Raw genomic sequence first — 13,641 nt, forward strand, 5'->3', positions numbered from 1 at the left:
GGGGCTGAGCCCACCTCCCTGTTGTCTCTTAACACTTTCACACGCTCCATCGCAACAGCCTGCAGTCATGGGCTTTATTGTCCTGTTTGCTGGACATGATACCTGAGTCCTCAGAGGTTGGCCCTCCTGCCTGGAGTGTGTTTCACTGGGGAAATCGTATAAGCAGGGCAGGTCTGGGTTCCACTGGCAGGAATCGAGGGGGACTGGATCAGAGGGACTTCCAGGGTGGTGGTGTCAGGTGGAATTGGAAGGGGCCGGACATCAGGTGGCAGGAAAAGTCCTTCCCCACCCACATGGGCTCATAGGAATCTGAGAAGTCCAGGGAGCCCTAGGATGTTAGAGCAAGGGTCCCTGAAGTTCTTGATCCCTGATGGGGAAACTGAGGCCTGGAGTGGGGAATGGACATGCCCCGAGGTCCCCAGAGTTGGGGTAGCTGAGACAGGGCACCCATGCACAGCCCGTGGTACCCTCCCTCACCCCAGGGCCGCTCATGCCCCTCAGGCCTTCCCTGTGCTGCACCACCTTCCTTCGTGTGGGAAGTAGAGTTCAGACCCACCTGAGGACATTCAAGGGGGAGACTGACACCTTAAGGGGGAGGGGAGAGGGGCTGGGCCTCTGCCTCCTCACCCATCATCCCGGCACCTTCTACAGCTGGTGGTGCAGGCCGGGCTTTTCCACGGCAACGAGATGCTGTGCAAGACGGTGTCCAGCTCGGAGGTGAGCGTGTGCTCGGAGCCCGTGTGGAAGCAGCGGCTGGAGTTCGACATCAACATCTGCGACCTGCCCCGCATGGCCCGTCTCTGCTTTGCGCTGTACGCCGTGATCGAGAAAGCCAAGAAGGCTCGCTCCACCAAGAAGAAGTCCAAGAAGGCGGTGGGTCCCAGGGCCGGCTGGGAGGGGTGCAGACCCCGGAGAGCCAGTACAGCCCCTTGCTGGGCCACTCACCACTCTCCTCCCGGCAAGCACGCAGCCTGGGGATGGGGGTCCTGGGATTGCTTGTGGACCCCAGCCTCCTCACCCACCCTAGTCTGGCCACCAGCCCTGCTCGAGGGACACTCTGGGCTCCTGGGCTCCTGTGCATGCGGCCTCAGAATATCTGGCCTGGGCTGTGGTCCTGCAGGAACCTGCAGGTAGTGCCCTGGGATGGAAGGACAAGCACAGTGTCATCCCTGGAGCAGAAAAGCCTGAGTCAGCGGCTGGCCGGGAGGCGTAGTGGCTGGGTGCTGAGTCACGGTCCCAGGATATGGCTCCCCTCGGAGCTGACTCACTCCGAGCTGAGCTGGGCTGGCCTCTGGGGCTGGGCTGTCTGTTTGGGGATTTCTCAAGAAGCCAGGAGGGCCAGGCGTGGTGGCTCATGCCTGTAATCCCAGCACTTTGGGAGGCCAAGGTGGTCGGCTTACAAGGTCAGGAGTTTGAGACCAGCCTGGCCAATATGGTGAAACCCTGTCTCTACTGAAAATACAAAAAAATTAGCCGGGCGTGGAGGCACATGCCTGTAATCTCAGCTACTTGGGAGGCTGAGGCAGGATAATTGCTTGAACCAAGGAGGCAGAGGTTGCAATGAGCCGAGATCGTGCCACTGCACTCCAGCCTGGGTGACAGAGCAAGACTCCGTCTCAAAAAAAAAAAAAAGCCTGAGTAGGGGTGAGGTGGGAACAGGAGGGTGCAGCAGGTGTCAGCTGGCTTCACCACTGGAGCCCTCAGAGGAAAGAGGAAAAAGCGGCTCCTCTCCTTCCCCAAGCAGGGTCTCCCAGGGGTCTGGTTGGGAGATGTTAGCTGGGCTCTGGGTCTTCTCGGGTGGGGTGCCTGGGGGAGGGCAGGGAAGCTGGGTCTGGAGGCCCCTGAGTGGCTGTCCTCACCTGCCCTGTCCTTCTGCAGGACTGCCCCATTGCCTGGGCCAACCTCATGCTGTTTGACTACAAGGACCAGCTTAAGACCGGGGAACGCTGCCTCTACATGTGGCCCTCCGTCCCAGGTCGGCCCAGGCCCAGGAGGGAGAGGCGTTGGGAGTGTGAGGGTCCCAGAGATGCTGGTCACCCCTCTACAACTTCATCTGCCCCTGTGTTCAGATGAGAAGGGCGAGCTGCTGAACCCCACGGGCACTGTGCGCAGTAACCCCAACACGGATAGCGCCGCTGCCCTGCTCATCTGCCTGCCCGAGGTGGCCCCGCACCCCGTGTACTACCCCGCCCTGGAGAAGGTCAGTGGGGGCCCCGCCGCGTGAGGCTGAGGGGCTGGCGCGGAGCTCTCCTGGCCCTGCTCCTGGAGCTCTTCAGAGGGTGCTCCCTGGCCACGTCGGGGCTGGGCTACCAGGCATATCTGGGGCCTTCCCAGGGGCCATTTTGCCTGCAGGGATGCTGCGCAGTCTGATGACATTTTCGGTTGTCACAGCTGCCAGGAGGGATGCTCTTGGCATCTCGTGAGTGGAGGCCAGAGCTGCTGTGGATGCGCCTCCATGCAGAGGACAGCGCCCCCTCAAGGATGATTGGGGTGGCAATGCCCGGCCTGGGGGTCCTGCCCGGGCTGGTCCAGGCCCCTGGGGACGCTGAGTGCAGCCGTTTGTTGCAGATCTTGGAGCTGGGGCGACACAGCGAGTGTGTGCATGTCACCGAGGAGGAGGTGAGTGGGGTGGGGGTGTGGGGTGGGGGGCATGGAGCCGGCGTGGAACCAGAGCCCTCACTCCTGCCCACACCCCTCAGCAGCTGCAGCTGCGGGAAATCCTGGAGCGGCGGGGGTCTGGGGAGCTGTATGAGCACGAGAAGGACCTGGTGTGGAAGCTGCGGCATGAAGTCCAGGAGCACTTCCCGGAGGCGCTAGCCCGGCTGCTGCTGGTCACCAAGTGGAACAAGCATGAGGATGTGGCCCAGGTGGGTGGGGAGGCGCACCTGGGGGCGGAGCTGGGGGCAGACCACAGCCTCTGGCTACCCACCACCCTGACCCCGGCCAACCCCCACCCTCACCCTGGCCAACCTTCACCCTGACCCTGGCCACCCACCACCCTGACCCTGGCTGGCCATCACCCTTACCCTGACCACCTCCACCCTGACCCCGGCCGCCCCCAAGCCTGACCTCGGCTCCCCCCAGATGCTCTACCTGCTGTGCTCCTGGCCGGAGCTGCCCGTCCTGAGCGCCCTGGAGCTGCTAGACTTCAGCTTCCCCGATTGCCACGTAGGCTCCTTCGCCATCAAGTCGCTGCGGAAACTGACGTGAGTCCCAGCTGGGCGCTCCCCACTTCTCCAGAGGGCAGCTGTGTCCTGGCTGCCAGGACGTGGGCTCTGGGTGGGGCCTGAACCTTCCCGTGGGCTTGCTCCCTCCTGCCTGGCCTCCCTCTGGCTGCCGAGGGAGCTCCCTCCTGTCCTGAGTCGGGGAGCTCCAGGCCCCAGCGCCTTCCTTCCCTGCAGGGACGATGAGCTGTTCCAGTACCTGCTGCAGCTGGTGCAGGTGCTCAAGTACGAGTCCTACCTGGACTGCGAGCTGACCAAATTCCTGCTGGACCGGGCCCTGGCCAACCGCAAGATCGGCCACTTCCTTTTCTGGCACCTCCGGTAGCGGGACTTGCCCCAGCCGTTCTGTGGGAATCCCAGCCCCTGAGTCTCCCTGGAAGGCCACTGGGGACGTTTCCAGCAGGCCTGGGTGTCCTGGCCTCGCTAGGTCCTGCTGGGCGGGAGGGGCTGCGTGGTGCTGCCTGGTGAGGCTCAGCCCTCCCTTCACCTTCCAGCTCCGAGATGCACGTGCCGTCGGTGGCCCTGCGCTTCGGCCTCATCCTGGAGGCCTACTGCAGGGGCAGCACCCACCACATGAAGGTGCTGATGAAGCAGGTGAGGCCCAAGGCCCTGGGGGGCGGGCAGGGGGCGGCCCTGAGCGTCTGGGAATCCCCAGGGCTGGGTCGAGGCTGGGACCTGCCCACCGCCGCCCTCCCATCTGCCCACCAGGGGGAAGCACTGAGCAAACTGAAGGCCCTGAATGACTTCGTCAAGCTGAGCTCTCAGAAGACCCCCAAGCCCCAGACCAAGGAGCTGATGCACTTGTGCATGCGGCAGGAGGCCTACCTAGAGGCCCTCTCCCACCTGCAGTCCCCACTCGACCCCAGCACCCTGCTGGCTGAAGTCTGGTGAGCCCAAGCCCCGCCACAAGGGTTCCTCCCACCCCTGGGAGGCCGGTAGAGGAGCCCCTGCTGACTGCCCGCTCTCTGGCCTGGCAGCGTGGAGCAGTGCACCTTCATGGACTCCAAGATGAAGCCCCTGTGGATCATGTACAGCAACGAGGAGGCAGGCAGCGGCGGCAGCGTGGGCATCATCTTTAAGAACGGGGATGGTGAGGGCCTGGCCTCCCCACACCCCGCCTGTACTGCCCTGGGGGGTCCTGGGGTGCTCCTAGAGTGGGGGTGGAGAAGACAGAATCCTGGGACTTAAGGGCTTGGGTGTAGCTGGAAGCAGAGAACCTACCAGAAACTCACGCTTCTCCTCCCACCGGCCGGTGGCACAGACCTCCGGCAGGACATGCTGACCCTGCAGATGATCCAGCTCATGGACGTCCTGTGGAAGCAGGAGGGGCTGGACCTGAGGTGAGGACCCCCACCCCACATCGTCCCTTGGTGTCTGTGCCCAGCCTGGGAGTCTGTGCCCCTGGAGGGGTCCTTGTTGAAGGTGGCATGACCATCTCAGCCGGGGAAAGGGCTTTCCTAGGAAGACCCGGAGGCGGTTTAACTCTAGGCCAGGAGGCGGCGGGCAGCAGGATGCGTGAAGGCTGCTCCTGAGGCTTAGTGTGTACCCTGCTCTGTTGCTTTAGTTGCCCAGGTGCCCCTGGCTTCCCCAGCCCATCTTGGGAAGCAGTGGCGTCTTCTCCCAAGGCCTCTGTCTGGTTCTCTTCCAAGCAAATGTGAACTCAGCTGTGGTGCTTTCTGCACCTCAGATGCTGGTGCCGGCATCTCCAAGGAGCCAGCATCTCTCACCTGCTTTTTAGCAATGTGGGCAGCAGCATCTTCTGTGGCTTTTTGGGGCACCATGAGTTTCTGGGGCTCAAGTGGCCTCAGGGACAGCCCTTGACCATGCCATTTGCCCGTCCCTCTTCCCCCTTGCCTAGGATGACCCCCTATGGCTGCCTCCCCACCGGGGACCGCACAGGCCTCATTGAGGTGGTACTCCGTTCAGACACCATCGCCAACATCCAACTCAACAAGAGCAACATGGCAGCCACAGCCGCCTTCAACAAGGATGCCCTGCTCAACTGGCTGAAGTCCAAGAACCCGGGGTGGGTTTCAGGCCCAGGGATAGGTTCCCTCTCCTTTCCAAGAGGTGTGGAGTGGGAGGGCCTCGCCTGTCAGAACAAAGGAGCGGGGAGGGGCCTCAGACCATCTTTGTGGCTACTTGGCTCAGTTGAGGACCAGCCTGTGTCTGGGTTGGGGTGAGGTAGGTCTCTCTTCCCCAAGTATCAGTGTCTCTTGCTATGCAACACCATCCAAAGCGCAGGGCTTTAAAAAACAGCCATTTACGATTGGCTCACAGATCTGCAGCTGGGGCTGGGCTCAGCCGGGTGGCTTTTCTGCTGGTTCCACATAATCACTCATGCAGCTGTTCTCATCTGGTGCCTTAACTGGGCCAGTGGGGTCTGAGATAACCCATCTCATTCCTGGGGCCTTGGCGCCAGCTGTCTGTGATGCCTCTCTGCATGTGGTCTCCTCATTTAGCAGCCTCACCTTCCTTCCGTGGCTCTGTATTGAGGGTATGGGGTTCAAGATCTGCAGGGGTCTTCATGCCTTGGCTCTGGAATAGCGTCTGCAAGCGATGTCCAGCATTGTGTCCTCCATGTTCTGTTGGTCAAAGCAAGTCACAGGGCCAGATTCAAGGGGAGAGGGAGTAATAACCCACCTCTTGATAGGCGGAGCTGCAAAATGGTATGGCCATGCTTTTTAATCTTCCCCACCCAGGGAGGCCCTGGATCGAGCCATTGAGGAGTTCACCCTCTCCTGTGCTGGCTATTGTGTGGCCACATATGTGCTGGGCATTGGCGATCGGCACAGCGACAACATCATGATCCGAGAGAGTGGGCAGGTACAGGGGCTGGTGCTGGCGGCTGCTGTGGGGACTTGGCTTCTGGCCCCAGCCTGCTGGCCCCTCTGCCTAGCACACAGCTCTGTGGCAGGGGTCCCCCAGCCCTGCTGGCTTCCTGTCTCCCCTGGATTCTCTCCTGTCTGACACCTTCTCAATCCTCCCCCTCCTCTCCCCTCCCCTCAGCTGTTCCACATTGATTTTGGCCACTTTCTGGGGAATTTCAAGACCAAGTTTGGAATCAACCGCGAGCGTGTCCCATTCATCCTCACCTACGACTTTGTCCATGTGATTCAGCAGGGGAAGACTAATAATAGTGAGAAATTTGAACGGTGAGAGTGCCTGAGCCCCACCAGATGCCCCTCGGTGTGGGGCCCCAGGGAACAGGGCAGAGGTTCCCAGGCAGGGTGCAGGATGGGGCTCAGGTCTCAACCCCACACCTGGCCCCTCACCCCAACTGTTGATGGGTTTGGAACATGCCCCTGCTCCACCCTGCAGTGCCCCTTTTGGGCAATGTGGGCAGGTTTGTGGGTCATGTAGCAGGAGGCTGGCTGGGGCACGGGGGTCAGTTAGCAGAACTGGAGGCCTTGTGTCCACCCATTATCAGGGCAAGGGCAGGTGTCCTTGGGGAAGGGGCTGGTTGGATGCAGAGCGGCCCTCTGGCCTGTGGCTGGGAGTTCCCAGAGCCTCACTTCCTCTGTCCCCTACCTGCAGGTTCCGGGGCTACTGTGAAAGGGCCTACACCATCCTGCGGCGCCACGGGCTTCTCTTCCTCCACCTCTTTGCCCTGATGCGGGCGGCAGGCCTGCCTGAGCTCAGCTGCTCCAAAGACATCCAGTATCTCAAGGTATGTGCCGGGCAGGAGACTGCTGTCGCCAGTGGACTTCCAAGGCCTGCCCCCGAGCAATGTGACCTAGGAGGGCCCTGAATGCAGTAGGCCCCAAAGGGCACTGAGCTGTGTGTGCCTCATGCCGTCCCAGGACCCAGCAGTGGAGCTGGTGGGCGGTGGAGGGGAAAGTGGCTGGACCAGAGTTGAGCCGCCCAGGCATGGTTCCACTCAGTGGCAGATGTGTAGTGACCTCTCCTGGTTGGGGTGCTGTGCTCAGGGCTGCGGGGCTTTCAGGTGTCCACTAGGGGGCCGCGTGAGCGCTGGCTCCCTCTGCCTTCTAAAAGATATTTTTTGGCCAGGCTGGGTGGCTCACGCCTGTAATCTCAGCACTTTGGGAGGCCGAGGTGGGCGGATCACCTGAGGTCGGGAGTTCAACACCAGCCTGACCAACATGGAGAAACCCCGTCTCTACTAAAAATACAAAATTAGCTGGGCATGGTGGTGCATTCCTGTAATCCCAGCTACTTTCGGGAGGCTGAGGCAGGAGAATCGTTTGAACCCAGGAGGCGGAGGTTGCAGTGAGCCGAGATTGTGCCATTGCACTCCAGCCTGGGCAGCAGGAGCAAAACTCGGTCTCAAAAAAAATAAAAATAAATAATAAAAAAAGATATTTTTCCAGGCCGGGTGCGGTGGCTCACGCCTGTAATCCCAGCACTTTGGGGGGCTGAGGTGGGCAGATCACGAGGTCAGGAGTTCGAGATCAGCCTGACCAACATGGTGAAACCCTGTCTCTACTAAAAATACAAAAATTAGTCAGGTGTGGTGGCACGCACCTGTAATCCCAGCTACTCAGGAGACTCAGGCAGAAGAATCACTTGAACCTGGGAGGCAGAAGTTGCAGTGAGCCGAGATCATGCCACTGCACTCTAGCCTGGGCAACAAAGGCAAAACTCCGTCTCAAAAAATAATAATAAAATAAAAATAAACATAAATAAAAGATATTTTTCCAGGCTGGGCATGGTGGCTCATGCCTCCGTAATCCCAGCACTTTGGGAGGCTGAGGCAGGTGGATCACCTGAGGTCAGGAGTTTGAGACCAGCCTGGCCAACATGGTGAAACCACATCTCTACTTAAAATACAAAAAATCAGCCAGGCATGGTGGCACATGCCTGTAATCCCAGCTACTCATGAGGCTGAGGCAGAAGAATCACTTGAACACGAGAGACTGAGGCTGCAGTAAGCCTAGATCGCGCCACTGCACTCCAGCTCGGGTGACAGAGCAAGACTCTGTCTCAAAAAGAAAAAATTGGCCGGGCACGATGGCTCAGGCCTGTAAACCCAGCACTTTGGGAGGCCAAGGCGGGTGAATCATGAGGTCAGGAGATCGAGACCATCCTGGCTAACACGGTGAAACCCCGTCTCTACTAAAAAATACAAAAAATTAGCCAGGTGTGGTGGCGGCTGCCTGTAGTCCCAGCTACTTGGGAGGCTGAGGCAGAAGAATCACTTGAACCTGGGAGGCGGAGGTTGCAGTGAGCCGAGATCATGCCCCTGCACTCCAGCCTGGGCGACAGAGTGAGACTGTCTCAAAAAAATGTATATATACAGATACATATGTATTTTTTTTCCTTCTTGTGTCCTCTCCATGTGAGAAGGTGGGATGGGGCGGTGAGGCTGCTGGGGCCACACATGCTTGCCAGGACCTTCCCTCTGGTGACCAGTCCCTGCAAAAGCAGCTGCTCCCATGCTCCTCCCAGAGCCATTTCTCCAGTAGGGGAGGCGAGGTCACTTGGGAACTGGGGGCTCTGGGGCCAAGATGTCTTTGGCACCTTCATTTGAGGGTGGGAGCGGAATAGAGAGCTTTTCCTGAGATGCTGGGAGCTCTCTACTAACCATTTCATTCAGTGACTCTGAAGTCCCCAGAGAGGGACGCATCCCAGAGCAAGGTCCGGGCCCCCTTAACGTGGACACCGCTGTGATTTGTTTGCAGGACTCCCTGGCACTGGGGAAAACAGAGGAGGAGGCACTGAAGCACTTCCGAGTGAAGTTTAACGAAGCCCTCCGTGAGAGCTGGAAAACCAAAGTGAACTGGCTGGCCCACAACGTGTCCAAAGACAACAGGCAGTAGTGGCTCCTCCCAGCCCTGGGCCCAAGAGGAGGCGGCTGCGGGTCGTGGGGACCAAGCACATTGGTCCTAAAGGGGCTGAAGAGCCTGAACTGCACCTAACGGGAAAGAACCGACATGGCTGCCTTTTGTTTACACTGGTTATTTATTTATGACTTGAAATAGTTTAAGGAGCTAAACAGCCATAAACGGAAACGCCTCCTTCATGCAGCGGCGGTGCTGGGCCCCCCGAGGCTGCACCTGGCTCTCGGCTGAGGATTGTCACCCCAAGTCTTCCAGCTGGTGGATCTGGGCCCAGCAAAGACTGTTCTCCTCCCGAGGGAACCTTCTTCCCAGGCCTCCCGCCAGACTGCCTGGGTCCTGGCGCCTGGCGGTCACCTGGTGCCTACTGTCCGACAGGATGCCTTGATCCTCGTGCGACCCACCCTGTGTATCCTCCCTAGACTGAGTTCTGGCAGCTCCCCGAGGCAGCCGGGGTACCCTCTAGATTCAGGGATGCTTGCTCTCCACTTTTCAAGTGGGTCTTGGGTACGAGAATTCCCTCATCTTTCTCTACTGTAAAGTGATTTTGTTTGCAGGTAAGAAAATAATAGATGACTCACCACACCTCTACGGCTGGGGAGATCAGGCCCAGCCCCATAAAGGAGAATCTACGCTGGTCCTCAGGACGTGTTAAAGAGATCTGGGCCTCATGTAGCTCACCCCGGTCACGCATGAAGGCAAAAGCAGGTCAGAAGCGAATACTCTGCCATTATCTCAAAAATCTTTTTTTTTTTTTTGAGATGGGGTCTTCCTCTGTTGCCCAGGCTGGAGTGCAGTGGTGCAATCTTGGCTCACTGTAACCTCCGCCTCCCAGGTTCAAGTGATTCTTCTGCCTCAGCCTCCTGAGTAGCTGGGATTACAGGTGTGCACCACCGTACCCAGCTAATTTTTGTATTTTAGTAGAGACGGGGGTTTCACCATGTTGGCTGGGCTGGTCTCGAACTCCTGACCTCAGGTGATCCACCCGCCTGAGCCTCCCAAAGTGCTGGGATTACAGGCATGAGCCACCGCGCCCGGCCCACTCTGCCATTGTCTAAGCCACCTCTGAAAGCAGGTTTTAACAAAAGGATGAGGCCAGAACTCTTCCAGAACCATCACCTTTGGGAACCTGCTGTGAGAGTGCTGAGGTACCAGAAGTGTGAGAACGAGGGGGCGTGCTGGGATCTTTCTCTCTGACTATACTTAGTTTGAAATGGTGCAGGCTTAGTCTTAAGCCTCCAAAGGCCTGGATTTGAGCAGCTTTAGAAATGCAGGTTCTAGGGCTTCTCCCAGCCTTCAGAAGCCAACTAACTCTGCAGATGGGGCTAGGACTGTGGGCTTTTAGCAGCCCACAGGTGATCCTAACATATCAGGCCATGGACTCAGGACCTGCCCGGTGATGCTGTTGATTTCTCAAAGGTCTTCCAAAACTCAACAGAGCCAGAAGTAGCCGCCCGCTCAGCGGCTCAGGTGCCAGCTCTGTTCTGATTCACCAGGGGTCCGTCAGTAGTCATTGCCACCCGCGGGGCACCTCCCTGGCCACACGCCTGTTCCCAGCAAGTGCTGAAACTCACTAGACCGTCTGCCTGTTTCGAAATGGGGAAAGCCGTGCGTGCGCGTTATTTATTTAAGTGCGCCTGTGTGCGCGGGTGTGGGAGCACACTTTGCAAAGCCACAGCGTTTCTGGTTTTGGGTGTACAGTCTTGTGTGCCTGGCGAGAAGAATATTTTCTATTTTTTTAAGTCATTTCATGTTTCTGTCTGGGGAAGGCAAGTTAGTTAAGTATCACTGATGTGGGTTGAGACCAGCACTCTGTGAAACCTTGAAATGAGAAGTAAAGGCAGATGAAAAGAAAGAAAAAGCCTTTTTATGTTCTTTTATGTTCTCGGCTCAAAAAGAAACAAGGGAGTGTAGGTTTAAAACCAAAACAGGAGAGAAGACAAACCCCGCTCCGGCTGGAGTTAGTTAGAACCAGAACTTTATTGTAGCGGATACACTTTCTGACCTATCATGAGTATACACATCTGCGAAGGGAAACCGCGCGGCGACAGCGTGAGGACATCCCCTGGGCGTGAGCGTCTGTCCGCTGTCTAAACAGAGCAGCTACAGGGACGGGACATGGAGGATGGCCACACATAGCACAGCCACCAGTGTCCTCAGAACTAGCAGTCAGGGTCACAGAACAGTATTCAAAATGATTGCCCACCTGTTTTAGAAATCTAAAATTTTACATGTAACTAAGAGCAAAGTGCTATGTGGGTTTTAGACCATGACTGTTTGTTTGCTCTCCTGCCCTACCACCAAGCAAAGCAGCAGGGCTCCTGGGGGAGAGGGATTTCAACCCCCCTGATGGCAGGGGGTGCTCTGGGGAGGAGAGAGGAGAGAACAGGCTGTTTTGGAAAATTCCAGCACTTTGACTTCGGGCCATGCGTCTCTCCTGGACGTTCTGAGTACGGATCGCTCAGGCCTCCTGCCGTCTCCAAAAGGAGTGGTCAGCCGGTCTGCAGGACACCTCTCAGTTTCTCCTTTTACCAGCAGGAAAATGTACATTTAAGCATAAACCACAAGGCTGCACACGGTGAGACCAGGCCACTGCCCAGGGAGCTGCTGTCGGAGGAGGAGTGTGGAAAAGGGGCCAGGGACCCCGCACCCCACACCAAATTAGGAACAGGTAGAATCCCAAAGGCAAGGCCCGGCCACTTGTAGCTACCCTGATCCAGTCTCTTGAGCAGCACAGCTAGAGGCCTGTGGCCCCCGACTCCCAGCCATACTCAGACCTGAGCAGGGGCTGGGGCGGGGCTGGGCGGGGTGGGCCTCTCCCTCTGGGGTCTGGGGAGGGAGGACCCGGCGGGAAGAGCCCGTGCTCAGAGCTCCGAACTTCACTTTACATTCCAGTCCCGGGTTACACTAGCACAAAGGACACAAGGAATCCGATTTATTTACAAAATATTAAAAAGTCAGTTAATCATCTACACAGTACCCCCCATCCTGCCATTATTTATACATGCACTAGTTTGGAAAAAATAAAAACTTTTTTTAAAAAAAGAAAAAAATGATTACCGGGTGGGAGTGAGCATGTTTTACCCTTTGTCAACGAGCCCAGCTGGCATGGCTTTTCTGGAGTGCGAGGGGCCAGTGTCCTCTCCCCGGGGGGAGACTCCAGACACAAACGCGGGGCCTGAGGCGCTGGGAGGCCCCTGTGCGAGCCGGATGGCGGCCAGAGAGGACGTGTCAGCTCCTCGTGGGACTGAAGAGCGCGACCAGGCAGAGGGTGGGCGGGGAGCCTAGGGTCCTACACACCAAGCACAGCGACGATCGTGGCGGGGAGGGGTCTGCACACCTACTGGCCGAAATGACTTTGTACATCGTGGACCCTTGGGACTGGGAGAACGGATGGCAGCAGAGTCTTCGAAAGCAGAAACCGAGGTGGCCGGGGGCACGGGTCAGTAGCTGAGGGTGGAGTCATCCCACTCCAGCTGCTGCTGCCGGGTTGCGTTCTGGGGGTCGCCCTGCTCCCCCTCCTCCTCCTCGCTGCTCTCCGACTCGGCGCTGGTGATGTCATCCTCTTCTTCGCCGTCCTCGCTTTCCTCTTCCTCTTCCTCTTCCTCCTCCTCCTCACTGCTGTGCTGGTCCTCATAGGTCTGGCAAGGAGAAGTGACGGCCACATGAGTCCGGCCCTGCCCACAGCCCCGTCACCTGGCATTCTCCTCTCGACAGCCACAGAGGAAGGAGAACTTGCCCCAGCGTCTCCCTCCCCAGCGACAGAGCAGCCAGGACGGCACCGGAAGTTATATTAGAAGTGAAGGGAAAACAAAGCTCCAGTCAGCACCCACGGAGTCACCCACATACAAAGCAGCTTGGGACAGCACCTCAGCTGCCCCACCAGAGAACTCTCTCAGGATTACCATGACCCAAGAGCGCCAAGCCCTGGCATGGCTCTTCTCTACACTTAAGGCAGAACGGCCTTGAATAAGGTCTCTCTCAGCCTCGGTTTACCCACGAAGACACCTAAGCCCCAGGCTTGCTGAGCAGATGACGCGATGGAAAGCATGTGAACCTGAAGGAGCCGCGCCGTACCGGCTTCTCGGAGGCCCTGGCCTGTGCTGCCTCTCAGTCCTGGAGGTCGCCCGCCCACTCCTACCTCCATGGGGTTGACGGTGATGGTCAGGGCAGAGTCGTCCCAGTCCATCTCGTTCTCCTTCCCGGTGTCCTGATCCCGCATGGTCCGCCGATGTGCGGCCCGGATCCGAAATACCCCCAGGATAATCATGAACACCAGGAAGCTGACGCACACCACGATCACAACTGTCGCAGTGCTGGGGACGACTGTGGGAGAATGAGGGGGCGGGATGCGAGGTCACTCGGCCCAGAAGGCCACTGTGCCCTTGACCTCCTCGGCTGTGCCTGGTCAAAACGGGCTGGACAGCACGCTTCAGCTGAACCCACAGGCCAGGAGGAAATACCAGGAAAAGCTCGCCATGGGCCTCCAACCTGGCTCGGCCACGTCCTGCTCCATGGCTGCGGGTGACATCATCTGCCCTCTTCGAGGGCTTTAGTTTCCTTGTGTGTGATGGGGAATAATTGGGACAGGGAAAGACCGGCGGTCATGCTGAGCAGGA

General features: G+C 58.3%; 2 protein-coding genes and 1 long non-coding RNA gene across 43 annotated transcripts in view, besides 7 other annotated features; 1 reads left to right on the forward strand and 2 right to left on the reverse strand.

Moving 5' to 3' along the window:
* The window catches only part of PIK3CD (phosphatidylinositol-4,5-bisphosphate 3-kinase catalytic subunit delta), a 101,857-nt gene extending 90,785 nt beyond the window's left edge, over nt 1-11,072 (forward strand). For 19 of the 38 annotated variants that reach the window (XM_047422557.1, XM_047422553.1, XM_047422555.1 and 16 more), the window contains 16 exons: nt 652-873; nt 1,879-1,975; nt 2,070-2,200; nt 2,569-2,619; nt 2,700-2,867; nt 3,085-3,206; nt 3,402-3,545; nt 3,719-3,818; nt 3,933-4,111; nt 4,202-4,314; nt 4,486-4,564; nt 5,083-5,250; nt 5,927-6,050; nt 6,234-6,379; nt 6,762-6,894; nt 8,867-11,072. In XM_047422557.1, coding sequence (XP_047278513.1) covers nt 652-873; nt 1,879-1,975; nt 2,070-2,200; nt 2,569-2,619; nt 2,700-2,867; nt 3,085-3,206; nt 3,402-3,545; nt 3,719-3,818; nt 3,933-4,111; nt 4,202-4,314; nt 4,486-4,564; nt 5,083-5,250; nt 5,927-6,050; nt 6,234-6,379; nt 6,762-6,894; nt 8,867-9,004 — 2,115 coding nt within the window. In that variant the 3' untranslated portion in view covers nt 9,005-11,072. Of the gene's footprint in view, nt 1-651; nt 874-1,878; nt 1,976-2,069; nt 2,201-2,568; nt 2,620-2,699; nt 2,868-3,084; nt 3,207-3,401; nt 3,550-3,718; nt 3,819-3,932; nt 4,112-4,201; nt 4,315-4,485; nt 4,565-5,082; nt 5,251-5,926; nt 6,051-6,233; nt 6,380-6,761; nt 6,895-8,866 lie in introns of those variants that run through there. The other 19 variants (XM_047422561.1, XM_047422562.1, XM_047422564.1 and 16 more) reach the window with 6 other exon arrangements.
* On the reverse strand, nt 61-694 carry LOC124903839 (uncharacterized). The gene is made up of 2 exons (XR_007065457.1): nt 628-694; nt 61-328 (listed from the first exon to the last, which is right to left on the reverse strand). It is a non-coding gene; the product is annotated as an uncharacterized LOC124903839 (long non-coding RNA).
* Nucleotides 243-1,219: an enhancer, noted in NCBI's record as "H3K27ac-H3K4me1 hESC enhancer chr1:9778343-9779319 (GRCh37/hg19 assembly coordinates)". NCBI's record gives its function as "activates a minimal SCP1, AML or CMV promoter by ChIP-STARR-seq in naive H9 embryonic stem cells {active_cell/tissue: H9 hESC(naive)}" and the evidence as "EXISTENCE:reporter gene assay evidence [ECO:0000049][PMID:30033119]".
* Nucleotides 243-2,195: a biological region, named in NCBI's record as "MED14-independent group 3 enhancer GRCh37_chr1:9778914-9780113".
* Nucleotides 814-2,013: an enhancer, noted in NCBI's record as "MED14-independent group 3 enhancer chr1:9778914-9780113 (GRCh37/hg19 assembly coordinates)". NCBI's record gives its function as "activates an origin of replication core promoter dependent on BRD2, BRD4, P300/CBP and CDK7 cofactors, and independent of MED14, by STARR-seq in HCT116 cells {active_cell/tissue: HCT116}" and the evidence as "EXISTENCE:reporter gene assay evidence [ECO:0000049][PMID:35650434]".
* Nucleotides 1,220-2,195: an enhancer, noted in NCBI's record as "H3K27ac-H3K4me1 hESC enhancer chr1:9779320-9780295 (GRCh37/hg19 assembly coordinates)". NCBI's record gives its function as "activates a minimal SCP1, AML or CMV promoter by ChIP-STARR-seq in naive and primed H9 embryonic stem cells {active_cell/tissue: H9 hESC(naive and primed)}" and the evidence as "EXISTENCE:reporter gene assay evidence [ECO:0000049][PMID:30033119]".
* Nucleotides 2,196-3,172: an enhancer, noted in NCBI's record as "H3K27ac-H3K4me1 hESC enhancer chr1:9780296-9781272 (GRCh37/hg19 assembly coordinates)". NCBI's record gives its function as "activates a minimal SCP1, AML or CMV promoter by ChIP-STARR-seq in primed H9 embryonic stem cells {active_cell/tissue: H9 hESC(primed)}" and the evidence as "EXISTENCE:reporter gene assay evidence [ECO:0000049][PMID:30033119]".
* Nucleotides 3,173-4,147: an enhancer, noted in NCBI's record as "H3K27ac-H3K4me1 hESC enhancer chr1:9781273-9782247 (GRCh37/hg19 assembly coordinates)". NCBI's record gives its function as "activates a minimal SCP1, AML or CMV promoter by ChIP-STARR-seq in naive H9 embryonic stem cells {active_cell/tissue: H9 hESC(naive)}" and the evidence as "EXISTENCE:reporter gene assay evidence [ECO:0000049][PMID:30033119]".
* Nucleotides 7,021-7,229: a silencer, noted in NCBI's record as "fragment chr1:9785121-9785329 (GRCh37/hg19 assembly coordinates)". NCBI's record gives its function as "represses an EF-1alpha promoter that drives an FKBP-Casp9 reporter gene in an ReSE screen in HepG2 liver carcinoma cells {active_cell/tissue: HepG2}" and the evidence as "EXISTENCE:reporter gene assay evidence [ECO:0000049][PMID:32094911]".
* Nucleotides 10,884-13,641, reverse strand: part of CLSTN1 (calsyntenin 1) — a 95,601-nt gene continuing 92,843 nt past the window's right edge. For 2 of the 4 annotated variants that reach the window (XM_047449470.1, NM_001009566.3), the window contains 2 exons: nt 13,164-13,348; nt 10,884-12,663 (listed from right to left, as the gene is read on the reverse strand). In XM_047449470.1, coding sequence (XP_047305426.1) covers nt 12,466-12,663; nt 13,164-13,348 — 383 coding nt within the window. In that variant the 3' untranslated portion in view covers nt 10,884-12,465. The remainder of the gene's footprint in view (nt 12,664-13,163; nt 13,349-13,641) is intronic. The other 2 variants (NM_014944.4, NM_001302883.1) reach the window with 1 other exon arrangement.

Source organism: Homo sapiens, chromosome 1, assembly GCF_000001405.40.
Source record: "Homo sapiens chromosome 1, GRCh38.p14 Primary Assembly".
NCBI classification, from domain to species: Eukaryota; Metazoa; Chordata; class Mammalia; order Primates; family Hominidae; genus Homo; species Homo sapiens.